This window comes from Homo sapiens, chromosome 14, assembly GCF_000001405.40.
Source record: "Homo sapiens chromosome 14, GRCh38.p14 Primary Assembly".
Lineage (NCBI taxonomy): Eukaryota > Metazoa > Chordata > Mammalia > Primates > Hominidae > Homo > Homo sapiens.
Window position 1 is genome coordinate 71,468,913 of NC_000014.9, and position 22,053 is coordinate 71,490,965.

Below are 22,053 nucleotides of genomic sequence, written 5' to 3' on the forward strand. Positions count from 1 at the left end.
TTGGATGAGTTCTAAGCCCTGGTTAACAATCTCCCTTGTTTTCTTCTGTAGCTCTTATTATACCACACTAGAAAAGCAAGTACTCCAGCCCAGTTCCCTTACTTTCTAAGTCTTTTTCCATTTTCAAGCCATGTGTGTTATGTGCTGATTTTGGAATGGTCTGGAATGCTCTCTTCTTAACCTCAACCTCTCTGAGACCTTACCAATCCGCAGAGTCCACTGGAGTCTCACCTCCAAGATAACTTCCCCAACCTCTCTGAGACCTTACCCATCCGCAGAGTCCACTGGAGTCTCACCTCCAAGATAACTTCCCCAGCCACCTAAACCAAGCCCCAGCATCCCCAGCATCACTCTAGTGCTTAGTTATTATTCGGGGATGAGGTGAGGGGTTGCTAGATCCACATGAAAACTCTACATGCTGTGAAGTGCAGTACAGATGTGAGAGGGCAACACTGTTTTCCTTGCATTATTATTTTTGTTTTACCTGTTATGTGTTTGTCCTGTCATCCCCTTCCCCCACATTATGACCCTCCTAGAGGTCAAAAGCTTTATGTTTCTTAACCCATCCCCAAGTGCAAAAAATAAAAAAAAATCAAAGCAGTATAGAGCTGGAATGAATGAGTGAGTGAACAGAATGATGCTCTCTCTGCTCATCGTAGCGAAGATATCTAATGTGCATGCTGTTAGTGTGGGCAAAAGAGCAAGGGTTTTATTCTGGAGGACTTTGATGCAGGTCTGGACTTTACTACAGTGTGGGATTGGTCCCCCTTTCATCCATATTCTCATGTGAAAAATGAGGAAGGTGATGTTGCTGTATACCTCATAGGGCAGTGTTTATGAGGAGTAAAGTGACGTTTGTGGAAAAACTATTTTGTTGCTTTTCAAGTGCTTATTAGTTGTTTCCAATAAAAACAAACATGAGGCAGAACTTTGATCAAGCGTTGGATAATTCATAAGTCATGCTCCGTCATAACCAGGAGGATGGTGTGGTCATGTGAGTGGGATGGGAACTGAAGGGAGACCTGACTCTGACTTCTGCAGCCTTGCCAGTCCTGAGCCTGGGGCAGCAGCATTAGTTCGGGTTGGGGCTGGTGGTGCTTGGCAGACCCTTTACCTGTGTCAAGGGAGCTTGATGAAGAAATTCTAGGAGCTTTGTAAATACTTGGGTATTCAGATTGAGACAGGGAAATGATTAAATCTGTAAGGTAACATTTCTTCACACCAAGTGGGGAGCTTTTGGGTAGGGCCTTATGTTATGAAGAACCTTTGAATGTAAATGTGAAACTGGATGACAGTTACCAAATTACAGCCACCCAGCTACTTTCTCTCTCTGTACTAGAAATTTATAGTAGATCCTGATACGGACACGTTTGCAAAAGAAAGAAGCAAAGTTAGCAGCAATAGCTTGCTGTAGTGACTTTGGGATTTAGAATCTGGACAACCTCACTTTTAATTCCTGTCTGCTGTGAATTGCTATCTGACACTTCAGCAGCGCCCAAACTTTTTAAGTGACTGTGTAACTGGGGGCATTGCAAGAAGCCACCTGCAGAATGATTTCTTACAAGCCCCCAGTGAAAAAATATACATATCTAATGTTAATTTAATCCAGTTTTCCAACTACTTGCAAGAGTTGTATATAACAAAGGGAGTGGGGACTTAGTGGGTGATCACCTGGCGGAGCTGCTTGTAGGTCATTGGATGTTTGCATTAGGAGCTCTGGGTTCTCATCATCTGGGGTAAATGATGTAAACTTTCTGTACCTTAGGGCCCATATTTATAAAATGAGAGTGTTGGGGCAGTAGTCTGTTCCCAAGCTGTGACTATTATGTAGTTTAATAGGGGTTGGAAAAATTTCTCCTACTCTTCTAATTATATATGGAAAACTTCCCAGAGGACTCAGAGTTTTTTTTGTTTTGTTTTATTTTGTTTTGTTTTGTTTTTTTAAGATGGAATCTTGCTCTGTTGCCCAGGCTGGAGTGCAGTGGCTTGATCACGGCTTGCTGCAAGCTCCGCCTCCTGGGTTCACGCCATTCTCCTGCCTCAGCCTCCCGAGTAGCTGGGACTACAGGCACCCACCACCACACCCAGCAAATTTTTTGTATTTTTTTTAATAGAGACGGGTTTTCACTGTATTAGCCAGGATGGTCTCTATCTCCTGCCTGACTTTGTGATCCACCCACCTGGGTCTCCCAAAGTGCTGGGATTACAGGCGTGAGCCTCCGCACCCGGCCTCAGAGGTTTTTTTAGGAGTGTTTTCCACTTAATAGTGGGAATTGGGCCAGGTGCATTGGCTCATGCCTGTAATCCCAGGACTTTGGGAGGCTGAGGCAGGCAGATCACGAGATCAAGAGTTCTAGACCAGCCTGGCCAACATGGTGAAACTCCATCTCTACTAAGAATACGAAAATTAGTCGGGCGTGGTGGCATGTGCCTGTAATCCCAGCTTCTCGGGAGGCTGAGGCAGGAAAACTGCTTGAACCCAAGAGGCGGAGATTGCAGTGAGCTGAGATTGTACCACTGCACTCCAGCCTGGGCAACAAAGCAAGACTCTGTCTTGGGGGAAAAAAGTGTGAGTTAAGGACTTGCTGTGTGTCAGGGACTGCCTTGGGGGCTGGAGGCACATCCTCGAACAAGACAGGGTCCTTTCCCTCTAGATGCTTACATTTTAAGGACAGAAGACAGGGAAACAAACAGAGAGAGGTGACAGGAATTACTGTTAGATTGGATATGGAGTTACAAATGGGAAAGCCAAGGACAACTTACTCATTTGGCCTGAGTGGCTGTGTGGATGGTAGTAGTGGTTATTGGTCTGGTGGACAGAACAGGTTGGGAGTTGGATGATCCACATTCTGTTAAGTTTGACGTGCTTGGGAGAGATGTTATCTAGAGTTTTACATTTCAAAGTCTTCAGTCTCTGGATGGCATTTAAATCTTTGGGACTGGGTGAGGTCAGCTAATTATTGAATTTAGATAGAAAAGATAGGAGTGCTAGAGACCAGGCCTACCTGACTCCAAGCCCTGGGGCCCAACATTTGGAGGTTGGGTAGAGGAGGAAGGTAGAAGCAGTTCAGGGCCTCTTGTGTTTGTATCGTACCTTCATACACGTAAGGGTTAATAAATATCTTTTAAAATAATGCTAAGTGCCAGGTGCTGAGAGATGAGAGCACTCTTCAGGGACCACCTCCTCCTGCGAAGTGCATGGATGCCCACCACCCTCACTGCTTTGGGTCAGGCAGCCTCCGTCTAGACTCTCATGTCCTTCTGTGTCAGCTGGTTGACTTGAATATTGATCAAGAGTCAGTTTTGTTTGTAGCAAACCCTGTTTTGGTCAGTAGGACTTGTTGTAATTGCGTAATTAAAATGTTATGTTATCTGATTAAATCAGTATTATTTTTCTACAAAAATATGTTAAATACTTTGGAAAGCTTCCAAAGGCAAGCCTCAAAAAAAAAAAAAATCCAAAAAACCACAAACTCAAAGCTGCTGTTATAATATGTTACGTGTGGTCATGATGACTATAAAAGATTGGGGGGAAATAATTAAACTACTCTAAGCATTCTCAGATTGCTTCTTGAGAGCTTTGAGTTTGTGCTATACTCTAATAAAAAGGGAAATTGAAAGTTGTCATGATGCTTTTTTGGGTGGTTTGTATAAGAATGACTAGACTAACAGTCATTCAGGAGACTGATTATTCTTACAAAAGGCCTTGTCCTTACATTACAAAGTTGGTTAATGAATGTATAACATGTTCAGTTTAAATAAAATGTCTGAGATATATAGTGTTTCTCAGTTTCCAAACCAAGTTTCCTATTATCTTGGTTAAGTGAGTTTTTACTATGTGAACTTTGTAAAAAATAATCATCTAGTATGTGCCAAGAGCCCTAAAAATGGTTATCTTGCTAATATTACTTCTGGGACTTTATTCTATGAAAACTTAAAAAAAAAAAAAAAAAAGCAGGGTCTTACTTGGTCACCCAGGCTGGAGTGCAGTAGTGTGATCATAGCTCACGGAAGCCTCACACTCCTGGGCTCAAATGATCGTCCCACCTTAGCTTTCTGAGTAGCTGGGACTATAGGCGTTAGCCACAGCACCTGGCTTAATTTTCCACTTAAAATGGGTGTTATTTCTCTAATTACATGATAATTATATTATAATAATGGATAACATGAAACTTTAAAGAGAGGCTTTTTAAATTTGGTTGCTGTTGAGTGTTGGTGCTTCATAGAATGACTAAGAGAGACCATGAATGAAAACAGTACACATTACTTTCAGCTTTCATATGTAAGTGTAATAAGATATAAACAAGATTACCTTTATTTAATTAAAGGTACATATAAAAATAAAATTGCTTTTATCTGTACAATAATTATAACATAATATATAACTGTAAGTCTAGAAATAAAATTACTTTTAATCTTCATAATCATTATTCATCATTTATAATAGTTATTACTCTTTATAATAACCAAGACAGTGGAACAAAGTGGAATTTTCCTGAGTTTAGAAATAGTTTCAGAAAGGTTTGTTCCCCCATCCCTTTTTACACAGCTAGTACTGGCAGAATTTGAGCCCAGATTTTCTGATTCAAATTTATTGGTCTTTTCATTTCTAGCACTGTTCTTTGGTTTTTTCTTCTGTAAAGTTAGGTGCGAAAAGGAGGAGTAGTGGGGATCTGCCTTAAAAATCCTATATGTGGAACTACTCATGGATAGAAAATAAAAGGTTAAACTGGATGAGATGTAAGTCTGTCTTCGAAACAGGAAGATCATTCTGGGCTTTCTCTTTTATATAATGGTACTTTAAAAATGCTGAGGAAGGATTTGGGTGATGTGGTCAAAGTGATGGGAGAAAAATAACTTGAGAACAGAAATGTTCTCAGAAGGAGTCTAGAACTATGTTTTCCAAATAAGTGCATTTGCTGAAGGACAGGAAGAAAATATTAGAGCTGTCATTAAGCTGTTCTAAGAAATAAGCTAAAATGTACTAATATTTAATATTTGATTGAAACTGGGAACCTTGCTCATGTCATCTGTCAGATGACAAGTGTCCTATTTTGAATGCAGCTATCCTGGGATTATGTGGAACTTCCATAGTGCAAAGGGTCCTGCATTCCCTTGTTTGCTTTCAGCCTGTTGTGACATGCTACATTTACTCATCAGACTTACAGATTATGTTAACCAGTTTTAATTAAAGCAACAGCTGCAAAATTGACACTTGGCTTATAAAGATTCCTACAGAGAATTATGGGTTGAAGGTAACGTAGATAATGCAAATAAAAATGAGCCGTAAATAGTTGGCAGAGCTGAGACTTCTCCCAGTACAAGCTATGATCAACTATGAAGTTAGCTGGAAAGTGAATTTTGTCTAAGAAAATTTAGTTATTTTACATGGAATTGTCAGGCACTTACAAAAATCCTCCAAACTGACGGTGATTCTGCTGTTGGCCAACTGGGAGTGTGCTGAGTGCTTCAGTGGACCAGTGGATAATGCCCACTGGGAGATACAGTCCTTTGCAAGTAATTGACTTTCTTTTCTAATTCATTCTATTCTGCAGCTGTTTGAGTATCTCTTAGGTCCAGGCACCATGCCAGGGTGATAAAGAAGACAAAGCCTATAAGGAGATCACAATATAAAAAGGTCTCAATCTTGTGCCAAAATTATAGAATGGGAATTATTTAGTTGTGAGGGATTTGTGGAGTAATCTCAGTTCAGCCCTGTCATTGTTCAGGTGAGGACATCTCTGCTGTGCACCACACTGCTCATCAGTCCCTCCTATCAGTACGTAGGACCCATCAGAATCCCTCCCCTGATTGGTATCTTCGGGCTTCACATAATAGCTTCCAGTTTTTCCTCTCTTCATTTGGCTATTTATAGTTGATTCTTAATTCTGATTTTCTAACTTGCATTTTTGCCAGTAGGCATTGCTAATATATTCCAGCCTGAAAAAAAACCCTTAAATTTCAGGCTGTAAATCGTGTAAAATGAATGAGTTTTCTTAAGAACATTTTGTGTGTGTAGGTGTGTGTGCATGTGTGAAATTCTGACTGTCAATTTTCTTTTGAATGTAGAATGTCTTTGCTGGCCACTCAGACTAATAGAAATAATAGCATCTTAGGCAACAGAAGGGAAAGCACTGCTGTGAAGGTGTCACTTGACATCCCTGTTTATTGTTGACATGTAATAAAAAACAGTGTTCCTTGTGCATGTGAGCCAAGGTTTGGTCATGTGTAACCAGGTGATTATTTTTAAGTACATGTCTGACAGAACACCAAGAAGTACCAGTCTTTAAAGAATGCTATAGCATATACTTCAGGCTTGAAATATTGTAATAAAAGCAGGTTTGTTAAAAGCTTATCTGTTCCTGCATACTGTTCTCCAGCAAGCTAAACACATCAAGAAGCAGTCTCTCCCATTTAGAAATAACCAGACTTTCCTTATGTTTGTAACTGATTTTTTTTTATTAATTGGTGAGAACAATGTTGTTGGAAAGTTTAGTGTATCTTTCCCCCTCCTCCTCTTTGTGATGATGGTGGTGGGGGATTAGGTAATACCTTCAAACAGTAGGATTTTTCCTTGTATTTGAAAACCAATACAAGTCACTGTCATAATTTTTGGCAAATTATGTCAGGAGTAGAGGAAAGGGAATTCTTCACCTATCTTGATGTTTCAATATTGGGAACATTTGAAAAATAGAGAAAATTAGAAAGAAAAAAATTATCCGTAGCTTCTCCATTAAAACAAAAATTCTGCTTTCAAAATGTCTTCCAATGTAACACATTTGTGGTTATTTTATGAATTGAATGGCCAGAGCTATGTACATAGGACACAGCTGAAAAAGGGAAGGCGCAGTCAGTGAAAGTGGAATGAGGGCAACATCCAAATTGCCCTTTTAATGGTTATTATTGTGTTTCCTTGAAAAAGGCTAAAATGCCTCCAGTGGAAGACTAATAGTATTTGGACAGAAAGAGTGCAGTGTTAAGAAATTATTTTATCATAGCATTTTGAACCAAGGCTGGATCATTTTTGTTTAACAGTGTAATTGAGAGCTGTTCCTCACTTTCATTTACTCCATTGAGGAAAGCATCATTTCTAGCAGGAGGTTTACAGTGAGGTAGGTCATATTTGGGCACGTTGTAGAGGCACCGCAGTTGTGGTGGTCTTGATGACACAGTGCAGATGCTCCTGCTGAAACTGGTTTCTGTGACCTTTTCCTTTTGTATACACACTCTTCAAGTTTTAAAACAAACTGTATGTGTATTGGGTGCTTCCTGTTGAGGAAATGAAGGAGGTATGTATAACCCGGTGGGGTAGAGATGGGCCTGGATTGTAGTGGACAAATTTTGGATGACTCCGAGTTCATGCATCTGTTTCCCGGATGTTTCACCTGCTTTGTAACATCAGTGTCTCAAAAGCCAGAAGCCAAATGGCAAGAACTGTTGGGCTCTGTTGAACATTAGCGTTCTTGCTGTTAAACAGTCATATTTTTGTGGCTGAACAGTTAACTTTGGAAAGAAATGGTTTTGTGGTATCTCTAAAAATATTTTATAAGTACACTGGTTTAAATAACACTTAATACTACATTGTTCCATTATCTTTAAAACTCATTTCTGTGGCAGTTTTCAGTACCATATTTATGTAAGTTAGTCATAAAATATGTTTTTGTAAATTTGAGGTATTTTTATGTTTTTTTAAAACTTTTTTGTGCCTCCGAATAACAAATCTGTCAATTTGTTCGTTTTATTTATTTATTTATTTATTTATTTATTTATTTATTTATTTTTTGAGATGGAGTCTAGATCTGTTGCCCAGGCTGGAGTGCAGTGGTGTGATCTCAGCACACTGCAAGCTCTGCCTCGCGGGTTCACACCATTCCCCTGCCTCAGCCTCCCAAGTAGCTGGGACTACAGGCGCCTGCCACCATGCCCGGCTAATTTTTTGTATTTTTTTTTAAGAGAGACGGGTTTTCACCGTGTTAGCCAGGATGGTATCAATCTAAACACGTATAGACTTGTGTAACTACCCCATAACTCTTCTACCTCGCTCAAAAAGTTTCTTTGTGGGCCAGGCATAGTGGCTCACGCCTATAATCCCAGCACTTTGGGAGGCCGAGGCAGGTGGATCATTTGAGGTCAGGAGTTTGAGGCCAGCCTGGCCAACATGGTGAAACCCCATCTCTAAAAATACAAAAATTATCCAGGTGTGGTGGTGCAATCTCAGCTACTCAGTAATCTCAGCTACTCGGGAGGCTGAGGCAGGAGAGTTGCTTGAACCTGGGAGGTGGAGGTTGCAGTGAGCTGAGATGGTGCTACTGCACTCCAGCCTGGGCGACAGAGCAAGACTCTTTAAAACAAGAACAAAAAAGTTCTTTTATGTTATACTGTCTCCCCACCTCTACCTCCTGTCTAACACTGATCTGTTCCCCATCTCCATAGTTTTCTCTCTGTAAGAAAAAAACAAAACAAAACAAAACAAAAAAAACAAAAACGCGGGTGTCACTGTGTTGCCCAGGCTGGTCTCCGATAGTGTTCTCTCTGGGATGGTGTCATTTATGTGGAAGTATAGAGCAGACCATCTCTAATTAATTAATTAATCAATTAATTAATTATTTTAACAGATGGCGTCTCGCCGTGTTGCCCGGGCTGGTCTCAAATTCCTGGGCTCAAATGAGCCTCCCAAAGTGCGAGGACCTAGATCATGTTTTGAAGCTGACTTCTTTCCCTGAATATAATGCCTTGGAGGTTCATGCAATTTGTTGTGGATAGTATAGATACTTGGTTCCTTTTAATAGCTGAGTAGATCCCTTTATATGAAGGTACTGCAATTTATTTATCCAGTGTCCCATTGAAGGACATTTGGTTTGTTCTACTTTGGAGGTATTAAAAAAAAAAAAGCTACTGTGAACATTTGTGTTTTAGTGTTTATGTGAACATAGGCTTTCCTTTCCCTTGGGTAAATTCCCAGGACTGGGATTGCTGGATTACATGGTAGGGGTATGTTTAACTTTCTGAGGAACTTTGAAATTATTTTCCAGAGTATTTGTGTCATTTTCCATTTACACCAGCAATGTATAAAAGTTTCAGATGCATGGCATCCTTGACAGCATTTCCTGTTATCAAGGTATTATCAGTATTTTTTATTTTACCCATTTGGATGGATGTGTAGTGGTGTCTCATTATGGTGTTAACCTGCATTTCTCTAGTGGCTAATGAGGTTGAACATTTTTTCATATGCTTACTTGCCATTTGTATATCTTTTTTGATGAAGCATCTGTTCAAGGTTTTAAATAACCACTTTTTAAATTGGGTTATTTCTTGGTTGAGTTTTCAGTTTTATTTTGTTTTTATGTATTCTGGATACAAATTATTTGTTGCATATGTGATTTGCAAATTTTTTTCCAAGTCTATACCTTATTTTTTCATTTGCTTAATAGTGTATTTCTCTGAACAAAATTTCTCTAATTTTGAAGAAGTACAGTTTATCTTTTTTTTAAAGTACAGTGGGGGTGATTTCCAAGAACTCTTTGACTAACTAAAGGTTATAAAGATTTTATGTTTTCTCTTAAAAGTTTTATAGTTTTACATTTAGATATATATGATTTATTTTGAATTAATATTTCTGTAAGATCTGTTTTAGGTCAGGTTTCCTTTTTTAGATATGGATGTCTAATTATTCCAGCACCTTTGTTGAAAACACAATCTTTCTCCATTGAATTGCCATTGTACCTTTACCAAGAATCAATTGGTTATATTTGTGTAAGTCGATTTCTCCATGACTTCCTCCTTCCCTGGGGTTCCCCTTTTTACTTTTCCAGCCACAGAGATGAGACATTAGAATAGGACGTACTTCCTGTGACTGCTTGCATTTCGGGCCAAGAGGCAGAAAGACAGAGGAAAAAAGCAGCAGATGTTTGCTCCTACATCTTGAGATCAGAGCTCCTCTGATCAGAGAGGAAGGTTCCTTTCCCTCAGAGTATATGTGACTGTTGTCCCCGCTGTCCACCACCACCTTGGAATTGCCTTGGATTGGGAAGCAAGAGAATTAAAAAGAAAAAAAAAAGGAAAGAAAAATGGAGTGTTTCCCCCATTTTCTCCAGGTTTAGGAATTCCCTTTTCTGCTCCTCTAGCTAAAACTCAGTTTGTTCCCTCTGTCCACATCCTGGTATGCCATGTCTAGCTGCCTTGAGTCCAGGCTGGTGATTTCTTACGAAAAAAGTGGGACGCTCATTGCCAGTTTGGTAGTACCTTGAGATTCATTCTTCTTCCCTAATCAGCCTGCTATCGTTTACTTTTCAGACCCCTCAAATAGCTGCTTATAATCTTTCCAGGTATTATAACTGCATTCAGTAGAGAAATGAGATGGAGTACCCTTCCTTCATCCTACCCAGGACCAGTACCCCTCTTTTTCCATGTGTGTGTGTATGTAGGTATGTATGTATGTATGTATGTATGTATGTATGTATGTGTGTATATATGTATGTATTCATTCATTCATTCATTTCTAGAGACAGGGTCTTGCTCTGTCACCCAGGCTGGAGTTTAGTGGCACAATTATAGCTAACTGGAACCTTGACCTTCTGGGTTCAAGTGATCCTCTTGCCTCAGCCTCCTGAGTAGCTGGGACTACAGGCATGTGCCACGATGCGGGGCCAATTTATTTTTTATTTTTTTTATTTTAAATAGAGACAAGGTCTCACTATATTGCCCTGGCTGCTCTTGAACTCTTGAGCTCATGCATTCCTCCTGCCTGGGCCTCCCAAAGTTAGGAGATTACAGACATGAACCAACACACCTGTCTAAACCCCTGTTTTGTTTTGTTTTGCTTTGCTTTGTTTTAAGACAGGGTCTCCCTCTGTCACCCACGCAGGAGTGCCATGGTGTGACATGGTTTACTGCAGCCCTGACCTCCCATACTAAAGGTATCCTCTTGTCTCTGCCTCCCTAGTAGCTGGGACTACAGGCATATGCTACCATGCTGGACTAATTCTTTTTTTTTAATTTCTATTTTTAGTGGAGACAAGCCCTTACTATATTGTCCAGGATGATCTTGAATTCCTGGGCTCAAGCGATCCTCCAGCCTCAGCCTCCAAAAATGCTGGGATTACAGGCATGAGCCATTGCATGCAGTCCTCCTCTGTTTTTAAATACAAAGTTTAGACTAGTGTTTTTTTTGTTTTTTGTTTTTTTTTTTGAGACGGAGTCTTGCTCTGTTGCCCAGGCTGGAGTGCAGTTGTGTGATCTTGGCTCACTGCAACGTCCACCTCCCAGGTTCAAGCGATTCTCCTGCCTCAGCCTCCCAAGTAGCTGGGATTACAGGCGTTTGCCACCATGCCCAGCTAATTTTTTTGTATTTTTAGTAGAGACGGGTTTTTGCCATGTTGGCCAGGCCAGTCTTGAACTCCTGAGTCACCTCAGTTGATCTGCCCACCTCGGCCTCCCAAAGTGTTGGGATTACAGGCGTGAGCCACCGTGCCCGGCCAGACTAGTGTTTTTCACAAATTGCACACATCTTAAAATAATAGACATTCTGTTTCTCTTAGTCTTAAAAAAAAAAAAAAAAAGAAGAAGTCAGCCGTGCACAGTGGCTCACGCCTGTAATCCCAGCATTTTGGGAGGCCTAGTTGGGTGGAACACCTGAGGTCAGGAGTTTGAAACCAGCCTGGCCAACATGGTGAGACCCCGTCTCTACTAAAAATACAAAAATTAGCTGGGCTTGGTGGTGGGTGCCTGTAATCCCAGCTACTCGGGATGCTGAGGCAGGAGAATCACTTGAACCCAGGAGGCGGAGTTTGAAGTGAGCCAAGATTGCACCACTGTTTTCCAGCCTGGGTGACAGAGCAAGACTCTGTTTCCAAAACAAAAAACAAACAAACAAAAAAACAAAGGTCATTTTATCTTGGCTGAATTAATATATATTGTGTAAAATACAAGAACAAACTAGAAACCTTTCAGTTTTGTGGAAATTCTGTGCTAGGATCACAGTGGACTCTTTTCTTGCTTTTCCTTTCTACTAAAAAAATTAACAATTTAAAGTGAGCATTTTAATACCATATGTAAATTTACATTTAGTGCTATTTGATTTTAGGTGCAGAAATGCACCCAGGACACCTGTAGTCATTCACTTTCCTGTTTACCTTGTGGTTCTCATCTTTTGTTACTTTAAAAAATGTCTAATTTTAAGTCTTTTATATCCAATTATTGAGTTGCCTTTGAGATGTGATTTGATATGTTTTCATTCTGAACCCCTTGCATAAGTTCAGGCGAATTAGAGAATATAGGGAAGTCCAGGCTGGGAGTGGTGGCTCACGCCTGTAACCCTAGCACTTTGAGAACCTGAGGTGGGTGGATAGCTTGAACTCACGAGTCAGAGACCAGCCTGGGCAACATGGCAAAACCCTACCTCTACAAAAAATACAAAAATCAGCCGGACATGGTAGTGCATGCTTGTGATCCCAGCTACTTGGGATGCTGAGGTGGGAGGATGGCTTCAGCCTGGGAGGCAGAGGTTGCAGTGAACTGAGATGGCTCCATTGCACACCAGTTGCATTCTAGCCTGGGTGATAGCCAGACCTTCTGTAAAACAAACAAACAAACAACAACAACAACAGCAAAAAAAAAAGTCCCCAAAAAAAGAGAGGCTAATGATTAACATATTCATTCTCTACTGACTTTTTAAAAACATGGACTAAGTGTAATTATCCAGACAGCTGGTGAAAAACAAATATAGTTCAGTGGATTCCTAGTGAAAACAACTACGTGGTCTAAAAATTAGCTAATTTATTTTAAGTCATTATTTATCAGTAGAAAACCATTAAAAATTAGTGAGGGGGAAACTAACTGTAGGTGATCATAAATCTCTTGAAATCCACCCCCGGAGGCCATGTTAATGGAGTCACAGCAGGATATAGGAGTAGACAATTAGGAAGGTGAAGTTTAAGGTAATTAAGAATAACTCACATGGCATTTTAATTATAGAAAACGATAATAAAATACAAAGATGGAAGATAGTTGGATAATCCTATGACATCTCTTTATAGATATATCAAAATGGTAACTGGTATTTTTATGCTTTTAGTATTTATTTTCCACAAAATGGCAAGTGTCACAGGGCTTGAACGCTGCCCTCCTAAGTGTTTACCATGCTTTTGTTACTTAAGACTAATGAGACCATTGGGACCCTTTATGGAGCTCTGTGCCAGGCCCTGTGCTGAGCAGCTCACATAGGTTATGCCGTGTCATCCTCAGGAGAACCCTGGGAAGCTGGTCCTGATGGGCAGGAGAGAAAGCAGGCACAGAGAGTAGGTAAGTGCTAAGGATTCAAATCTACAGGGTCTGGCTGTAGAGCCTTTGCTCTTCAGCTTTTAGCTATAAGATCCCCTAGTTAAGTGGGGTGAAAGACTGAGAGGGAGGGGATTGGGAAGACCAAATGAAACAGTGAAGGATATTTTGACCAGAGGTGTAGAAGCTTCAAAATCAAGTGCTGGGTTTAGCGATTACCCAATCTCAACCAAGGAAAGAATGGGAACAGTCCAGTTCCAGGATTCATTATGCCACCAGAACATTTCTTCTGCCAATTTTTCCCAAGTCAGTGTGGTATAAGTAGCCACTTTTTGTTGCCACTCTTTCCCTGAGTACATCTCTCTCAGTCAAAGTGTGTGGAAACGCGCCTCATTAAATCTGTGCCGGGGACCAAATCCAAAGAAAGACTTAGACAGGATTAGAGAGGAGAGAAGAATTTAGTACTTTTTTCATAGGGATGAATTAGGGCTCTGATGTATTTAACCTCTTAAGCTTTCTGAATGATCTTATGGAGATGAGTCCTTGTCTGGGTTCAAAGAATTGACTCCTCTCCATCTTCTCTCCCTCTCACCCAAATTGAAGTGCTTTTAGCCAGTTGGTAGATTTTATACTTCTGGAAGAGAATAGGACCCGTAAGGAATTGAGGAATGGTGTTAACATCCTGTCCAGATGGATATTTGTGCCTAGATGTTCATGTTTATACACATTTTTGTGTGTGTATGAATGCACAGGCAGCAGCCAACTCATAGTCAGCCAGACAACTTGGGTGGTATTCTTCTTTTTTACGAACAATTTCAGCTGACAGCTAAGCACAGATATGATCCTTTATGATATCCAGAGATTTGTTTTACTCTCTTTTTGATAAGAGACTTCATACTTGCAGGCCAAAGACATTCAAGTCTTTGGAGGGAAAAGTCTTAAAAGTGGTCAGAATTTGAGGGCTATTAGAATTTTATTCTTTACCTAAATCTAAATATTTGTTTTAGATGGTAGTTTACCCACACCATGCAGAAAAATTATAGATGTTTGGGGTACCGTTTTTCTTTCTATTAATAACAGATGATTATAATTAGAGGCATTTGAGCATGAAACTAGTGGGGAACGTGCTCTGTGGTATTTTAGGGTGAAGTTGCACTTTGCTCTTTGTGCGCACATTGCTCTTTGTGAAAATGTCTCCTAATTCATCTTTCATGTACAGTGTTGCTTACAACATTGTATCATGCATTCATGTGAGACTTCAAAACCAGACCACTTGATTCTATTCTTCTGGAGCCACTGATAATTGTTGGGAGACTACATTTGTATAAAACCTCTGCAGAAATCAAGAGAGGCCCAGCTTTATTGTAATTTTAACAGTTTGGGCAAGTTTAAAATTTGAGTTATGTTTCTGTAGCCTTATCCTTGCTCACCTAGACTACTGATTTACCATCCCATCCCACCCCTGCACCCATTTCATTTTCTGCATTGCCACCAGAGTTTCTGTACAAAAAGCATGTCTAACCATGTCACTCTCCTGCTGAAAACATTTCCAAGGCTCCTCACAGCTCACTGGAGAAAGTTCAGGAGTCTTCATGTGGCCTTCAAGCCTTGTGATGGGAACCTTGCTCAACCATATCATCTATCACTTCCTGCTTGGAACTAGGCCCTTCTGATGCACTATGCTCTCTGTCACCGGTAAGGTTTTACTCCTTCCCTCTGACATCGCTAGGTTGGGCTGCATGCCCCACCTCTGCACTCCGTAGCACCCTGTGTTCGCCTCTTTGGTTGCTCATGTCTGTACGATGTTTGTCTGTTCATATGAGGAAGCTGTGGATTCCTCAAAAGCAGGGGGCTCTGTCCTCATTATTTGTGTTCCTCTAGCCTGCTGCAGAAACGGACACATATAATAGACACTATCCTCAGTATGTCTTAATGCAGCCTTGAATAAATGGTGGAGTTGCTCTTTGAGGTCGTGAGTTCTCATCACTACAGGTGTTTCACATAGCAGCTGAGAGGACACTGTTGCTTAGAAGTCACTCTGCCTCTCATTTTATTTGTTATTTTGTTTGAAGCTTTTAGTTGGACAGCTTTTTTTTTTTTTTTAACTTTCTCATCTTTTTTTTTTTCCTTTTTGAACTTTCTCGTCTTTTATCTTTGATACTCAAATAAGTAATCTAGCTACTTAAATATTTAAAACCCTTTAAGTAATTAGCATTGTATTAATAATTATAAAATGCCCATTATGTGTCAAACATTTTGCTAGGTTCTTTATATATATTAGCACTAATTTTTCCAACAATGTTAGAAGGGGAATGATTTCATAGTGTATCAGAAGGGCCAAGCATTATTTTCATTTTATGATTTTTAGGAACTAGGGCCAGAGAGAGGGAAATTAATCTGCAAGGTTTTACCTGCAGTTGGTGATTATTAGAATCAGGATTGAAATCTAGGTTTGAATCTGGACGTGATACTCATTTTGCTATCCCAGAAAACTGATGTTTATGTAACAACTTACCATACAGTAGGAATTCAGCAGTTATTGTCAGATAGCAGAGACTTGACAGTAGGCTTATTGTTAGTTTGGCAACCAATATTTGAAATAGAGAGGAATAATGATTTGTTTTAAAAAGTGAACAGAGCTAAAAATGGAAATGGAATTACTTTGCTTAATGCCTCCATTTGGATTTTGTTCCTAGCTTTAAACAAAACCTATGCTTAGAGTTAAGTTAGAGTAGAGAACATGATCCTGACTCTTCTGCAGTCAGTAGACTTCTGATTCTGCACAAAGACAGGAGTACCCCTCCCCTTACTCCATCCCAGCCCTGTGGAATTACTAAGTTTAGATGAGTGTAATTCGTTGCCCATGATCCTTTAGCTATTTTGGAGGGTGGGAATAGAGAAAGAGGTACAATAACGTTTCCACAAAAACCAAATGAAATGTGTGTCACTTATCAGGTAAGTTGCCATAAAGCAGCTCTACCTTTTAAAGATAAAATGACAGGATATCAGTAGCAGAAGAATGCTATTACAGTTAAGTCCATGAAATCCTGTGATGATGGGCAGTGGCAACCAGATATTCATTTAGAGAAGGGGTCTCCAACCCCCGGACCACGGACCAGTACCAGTCTGTGGCCTCTTGGGAACTGGGCTGCGTAGCAGGAGGTGAGCAGTGAGCAGGCAAGTGAAGCTTCATCTGTATTTACAGCTGCTCCCCATTGCCCATTACCACCTGAGCTCCGCCTCTTGTCAGATCAGTGGTGGCATTAGATTCTTATAGGAGTGCAAACCCTATTGTGAACTGTGCATGTGAGGGATCTAGGTTACGTGCTCCTTATGAGAATCTAATGCCCGATGATCTGTCACTGTCTCCCATCACCCCCAGATGGGACCATCTAGTTGCAGGAAAACCTGCTTAGGGCTCCCACTGACTCTACATTGTGGTGAGTTGTATAATTATTTTATTATGTATTATAATGTAATAATAATAAAAATAAAGTGCATGATAAATGTAATATACTTGAATCATCCTGAAACCATTCCCTACTGCCCCCAGTGTGTGGAAAAATTGTCTTCCACAAAACTAGTCTGTGGTGCCAAAAAGATTGGGGACCGCTGGTTTAGGGCATAGACCCCCAAATTGATTCTTATCTAACAATTCACCTGGCTTGTAAAACACAAGGAAGCTTTTGTAAATTGCTTACATTTGTTGTTGTTGATGTTTAACTTCCATTTCCCCCCCTACATTGCCTATACACCCTCTCTCCAGAGATCTTTCTGTTGGCCCTACTCACTCTCCCTAATTCAGCACCCAGAGTAGATCAGATGTTTCAAGAACTGGGTGTCTTTCCTGCCCAAAGAAAACATTGGAAAACATTTATTTTGATTTAAAAAGATGTTTCATAATCATACGGATGTGCGATTTAGACAGAAAAAGATAGTGAATCATGAAATATTTTTAATACCCTAAATGTATTTGCAACTGTTTTTTGCCAAATCTTACCATGTGTACTTTAAATATTCTCCAGCATCTGCAATGAAATTTCTGTTTGACTAGTAGGAACAGCTATCTGACTATACAGGGTTCGATTTTCTGTGGGGAAACCACTTGGGGTGGTGTTTCTATCAAGTCATCAGGAAAGGACACAGGCTCCTGGCTTTCAGCCTTTTGGGTGTAAGGCCTTTGTCCCCAAATCCACAGGAGCTCCAGCCTAGTTGTCTGCAAGAGGAGGGGAAAGGAAAACAGGCAAATGAGACTTTCTGGAATCTCTACTCATTGACTTCTACTTGAAACTCCTTGGCCACTGCTATCTTCAAGGGAGGCTCAAGTGTGGTGTTTAAATGGGCACTTTGCCAGCCCAAATAAAATGATACTTCTATCGCTAAAGAAGGGGAGCGGAGTGGAAACTGAGTTTGAAAAAGTTGACTTTCTGCCATCAAATACAACTTTTATTTTTTAAGTCATGAATCTGCCTAACCATCTTGCCAAAATTTAGAGTGAAGGGTGTTATTTAAGAGTATTTTAAAGAAATATTTCAGCTTTCGACAAATTATTTCCCAGGTCATTTCTATGCTTTTGTAAAATTCTTAATGCACCATTATTACTTTCCAATAAGTAATCTTTTAAATCTATAAATATTATTCAGGGTTTAAAAATAGAACAGGATTGATATTACGTGCTACAAATTAATAAATTTTTTCATGCTTCTTCTAAAGGCGCATGTTTTAGAAATATTTATGTAAAATTATCCGGTCTTTCTTTCTCACAGAGGCCCTTCTTTAGATAGAACTCTTGAAAGCTCTCTCCCTAGCATGTTAAGAACTGCTTTGGGTAGCTACGCTGATTCAGTACCAAATTCTGCCATAATCTTCTGATGGCACGGTGGTCTTTCTTCCCTCTGGATTTTTCTGCCTGGTAAGTTCTCTGCATGAAAAGTTCTGCTTACTCCTCTTCAACCTGGAAACTTCTTTTGATCCTTCAGGTTTCACGTCTTCTGCTCAGCCTTCTTTTCACATGCGTGCTGTTTTCCCTCCCCTCCCCATCACCTTCTGACTGGTTTAGTGGCTCAGGTGCTCCTGGCTGGTTTAGTGGCTTAGGTGTTCCTACTGAATGTTCCCTGGTCTCTGCCTACCGCATCATAGAGAGGAAGTTAAGCAGTGGTGATATGGAGAAAATGAGATAGTTCCTGTAAATACTCCAAACAGTGCCTGACTTCTCATAGGAAGCATGCATTCTGTATATCCATCATTTTTTCACATTGCATTGCAGTAACTTCTCTGCTTTTCTCAGTGATAAATTCTTGGAGGGCAGTTGCTATGGTGTGTTAGAGCTATTCCTGGCATCTGTGTATGGTGTATAGGGCATGGTAGGTACCCATTAAATATGTAATGAATGAGTGTGCATGGGTGAGCAGGAAGAGGAGAAAGGAAGACTACCTAGAGCTCTCCAGTGTCCACTTTCACTCTGCTCAGCTCTTGGGGACATGAGGAAGTGAGATCTGTGGATCCCAGAGGTAAAGAATGAGGTGAGGAACAGCAGTTTTTCACCATGCTTTGTTTTATTGAATGAGCTGGACCTCATGCAGATACCAGGGCATAATTGAGAGCTATAATTATTTGTCATTGGAAGACTCATTGTAGGAGATCTGTATTCATTTGCTCAAGTTGTCATTTAACACTTGAATATCTGCTATATGCTGGGTTCTAGAGCTGCAAAAGAGAACAAGAGTAGTCTTTACCTTTAGGATTTTCCAGGGAACTGGGGGAGACAGACAGATACATACACATACACCCCATCCTCAGTGTGTAGGTGCCATGACAAATCAAGGCTTTTGATGCAGATGCTATGCTTTCACTTCTCATGGTCGATACTTTTTGAATCTTAAAGTCTGATTGTTCAGATATCTAGAAAAGGAGATGTCTGGCTTTGCTCTGCCCTCTGACTCACTGTGTTGGTTTATCTTTAGGCGTGGTGGAGGGGGCCAGAACTACTGGCTAATGAGAGAAGGCAGACCTTGTTAGTGACATGTACAAATGGGCACATCTGCTATATTCACTTTCATTACTGATTATTAATAGTTTATTAAATGGAGTTTACTGAATTACTATTATTTTGGCTTAAAATATATATATATAATTTATGTAGTTCTATGTTTATAGATGTGTTTTCAGAGGTGTATTTGTTTTAGAATTTCACTCTGTCCTGGAAGTGATTTTTCAAATGTGGATATTAAAATGGATAGGACATAATTTCCCAACTAGTACAGTATGCTAGTGCCAACCTTATACCACTGTTGTAGTACCCATGAAAAATAATTTTTAAAAAGCTGTAAAAGTTCCCAGTGCTTTGAGGCTTCTTCAAAATTGAGAATGATGAAAATTTCCAAAATTATCAGTTGATGCCATAATTATCTCTAAGAGATGTTGTAATAGGAAATTCATGGTTTTCCTTTATTTTCCTGTTTCTGAACACAAAATTCAAAAGAAAACTCTTTCTTCCTTGTCACTGAGACTCTTGGTCAGTGTAGGCTGTGAACTTGTACTTTGTGAAGAGAAGAGTACTGTGAGGAAGCTTGAAAATACTGTAGGTTTTTGTTGGCATCTTCTTCTGGATGGTATTCATGTACTCTGCACGCCACTGAAAATATGCTCTGTTTTTCATAAAATATGCTCATTCTTTTATACTGAGCACTCGGAAATTGGTTTTCCCAAACCATCTTAGTGGAGAATGGCCTGCTTTTATCAGTTATGTGAAGAAGTAAATTCCAGGCTCCTCAGCTGCAGGATGGCTCCTTGTTCACAGCTGCTGCTCTTGCCTCTGTGGAAGACGCCTGCTGCTAAGAGAATCTTTGTGTGTTGTGTATAAAATGAACTTTGTTTGGACCATTCCACAAGCAACTTAAACTGCTTAGGAGTCCAGCCAGACATTCCTCCCCAGTTGATCATTTAAATGGAGGTCAGATTTAGAACCCAACTTATATTCGTTTAAAAATAGACATTGCCTTTAGAAAACTGACCTTTGGTACATTTGGGGCCTAGGGATCTGATAGGCTATCTCTTATGATGCACATCGCTCTGTTTTAGACTCTGAAAGGCAGTATGCCTTTGAAGCTAGATAACGTCAGTGTGCTTGTAACTTGGGACCCAGTCTGTGTGCTATATGTCTGCTTCTTCAGTCCACACTCATTACTTCCAGGAAATTCGTGAGAAGATGAGAGATTATTCGTTATAGAATTGAGTATGGTTTCTCTACACTAATTTTATTGGATATTTTCCAGTTTGACTAGGAAAGGTTAGAGAACATGGAAAGAAAATTTAACAGGTTAATTTTAAGGTAATAAGACCATTGTATTGATATATTCTTCAGTGTGATTTAGGTGAGTCAGGAATTTTTCCTCTGGAGACTGCCTAAATCAGGGATGTCCAATCTTTTGGCTTCCCTGGGCCATACTGGAAGAATAAGAATTGTCTCAGGCCACGCATAAAGTACACTAACACTAATGATAGCTGATTAGCTTAAAAAAAAAAAAAGAAAAAAAGAAAAATTGCCAAAAAATCTCATAATGTTTTAAGAAAGTTTATGAATTTGTGTTGTGCCGCATTCAAAGCTGTCCTGGGCTGCATGTGGCCTGCGGGCTGTGGGTTGGACAGGCTTGTAAATGTTATTAAACCTACAAATGAGAAAGGTAAGACTAGTGGCAGCTCTCACGGGGCTGGAAGTCAGTTTATCATATGTTGCAACTTAACATTATTCATTTATGCAAGTGAATAATCAGTTATCAAAATATGGAGGGATTCTTTCAAGCCTCATTTATCACACACAAGTCTAAGGTTTACATAGAATGTGTTAAACAGATATGTTAATAGGGTAAGATTGGAGTAGAGAAGGTTATTGCTAACTTTTTAATAATCAGAGAAGTGAACATATATTGAGCTTGCATAGATATAGTTAAATTATTGCCTAAAATTTCAACTAAAATTGAAACAAAGTGGTAATAAGTTATTTTGATTTCATTAAAAAATAACCTTGAAGGACAATATTTTTTTTTCTTCATGATTTAACAGTGTTACTTAAGCATTTATTTTGATGTAGGAAAACCTGTATTTATTTCTGGGCACCACTTTTCTTGTAGTCTTAATGATTATCATCTTAACCAACACCTTTGTGTAATAGTTTCCTTGAGGCTGATGATACCTTTTAATGGTGTCAGTGCTTAACATTATGTCTTTTTGGTACTTTTCAGCAACACAAAATTATAAATTATTTTGTGACTAACTGTGTCTAAATTTTTTTTTACATCAAAATAAGTATTTTTAAAAAAGAAAATGTGGGTTTTTAAACTTGTATTTTATTTATAAGAGGATGTATTGTCCATGTTATTATAATAATTGATGTGTTTCCAACAGAGGACCTCTGTGAATATTTTTGCATTGCCCACACAGGTGATGTGTGAACATCTCCAAGATTGTTGTGCCATTAACTAGCTCCTACAAAGTGTCATACAGCAACATTATTTGAAACACTTGTGGAAACATTTGGAAGCATTTATCATTTTTTCTTTGTTGTATACCCATTTGAACAAAAGCAAAGTAATTGCTTACAATAGTTATTTTTTCATAATAACATAAATGCTGAATCTATAAAAAGTAGAATTTCTTTATAAAGATGACCTTAAGTTTTAGCTACCTGATATCGTACATACATCGTAGAGAACATTTTCAAAGGTAGGGGTTTAATAGGAATGAAGATGCCTGTTCCTGATACTGGGAAGTTTGCTTATT

General features: G+C 39.5%; 1 protein-coding gene and 1 long non-coding RNA gene across 55 annotated transcripts in view; both read left to right on the forward strand.

Annotated features, from left to right (window-relative positions):
- The window catches only part of SIPA1L1 (signal induced proliferation associated 1 like 1), a 420,734-nt gene that overhangs the window by 148,437 nt on the left and 250,244 nt on the right, over positions 1–22,053 (forward strand). The window contains exons 4-5 of one of the 54 annotated variants that reach the window (XM_047431214.1): positions 13,243–13,299; positions 14,830–14,970. The exons of the other annotated variants lie outside the window; for them this stretch is intronic. The gene's annotated coding sequence lies outside the window, so the exon portion shown is untranslated. The remainder of the gene's footprint in view (positions 1–13,242; positions 13,300–14,829; positions 14,971–22,053) is intronic. 54 annotated transcript variants of the gene reach the window in all.
- LOC145474 (uncharacterized) lies at positions 18,949–20,802 on the forward strand. The gene has a single exon (NR_027046.1). It is a non-coding gene; the product is annotated as an uncharacterized LOC145474 (long non-coding RNA).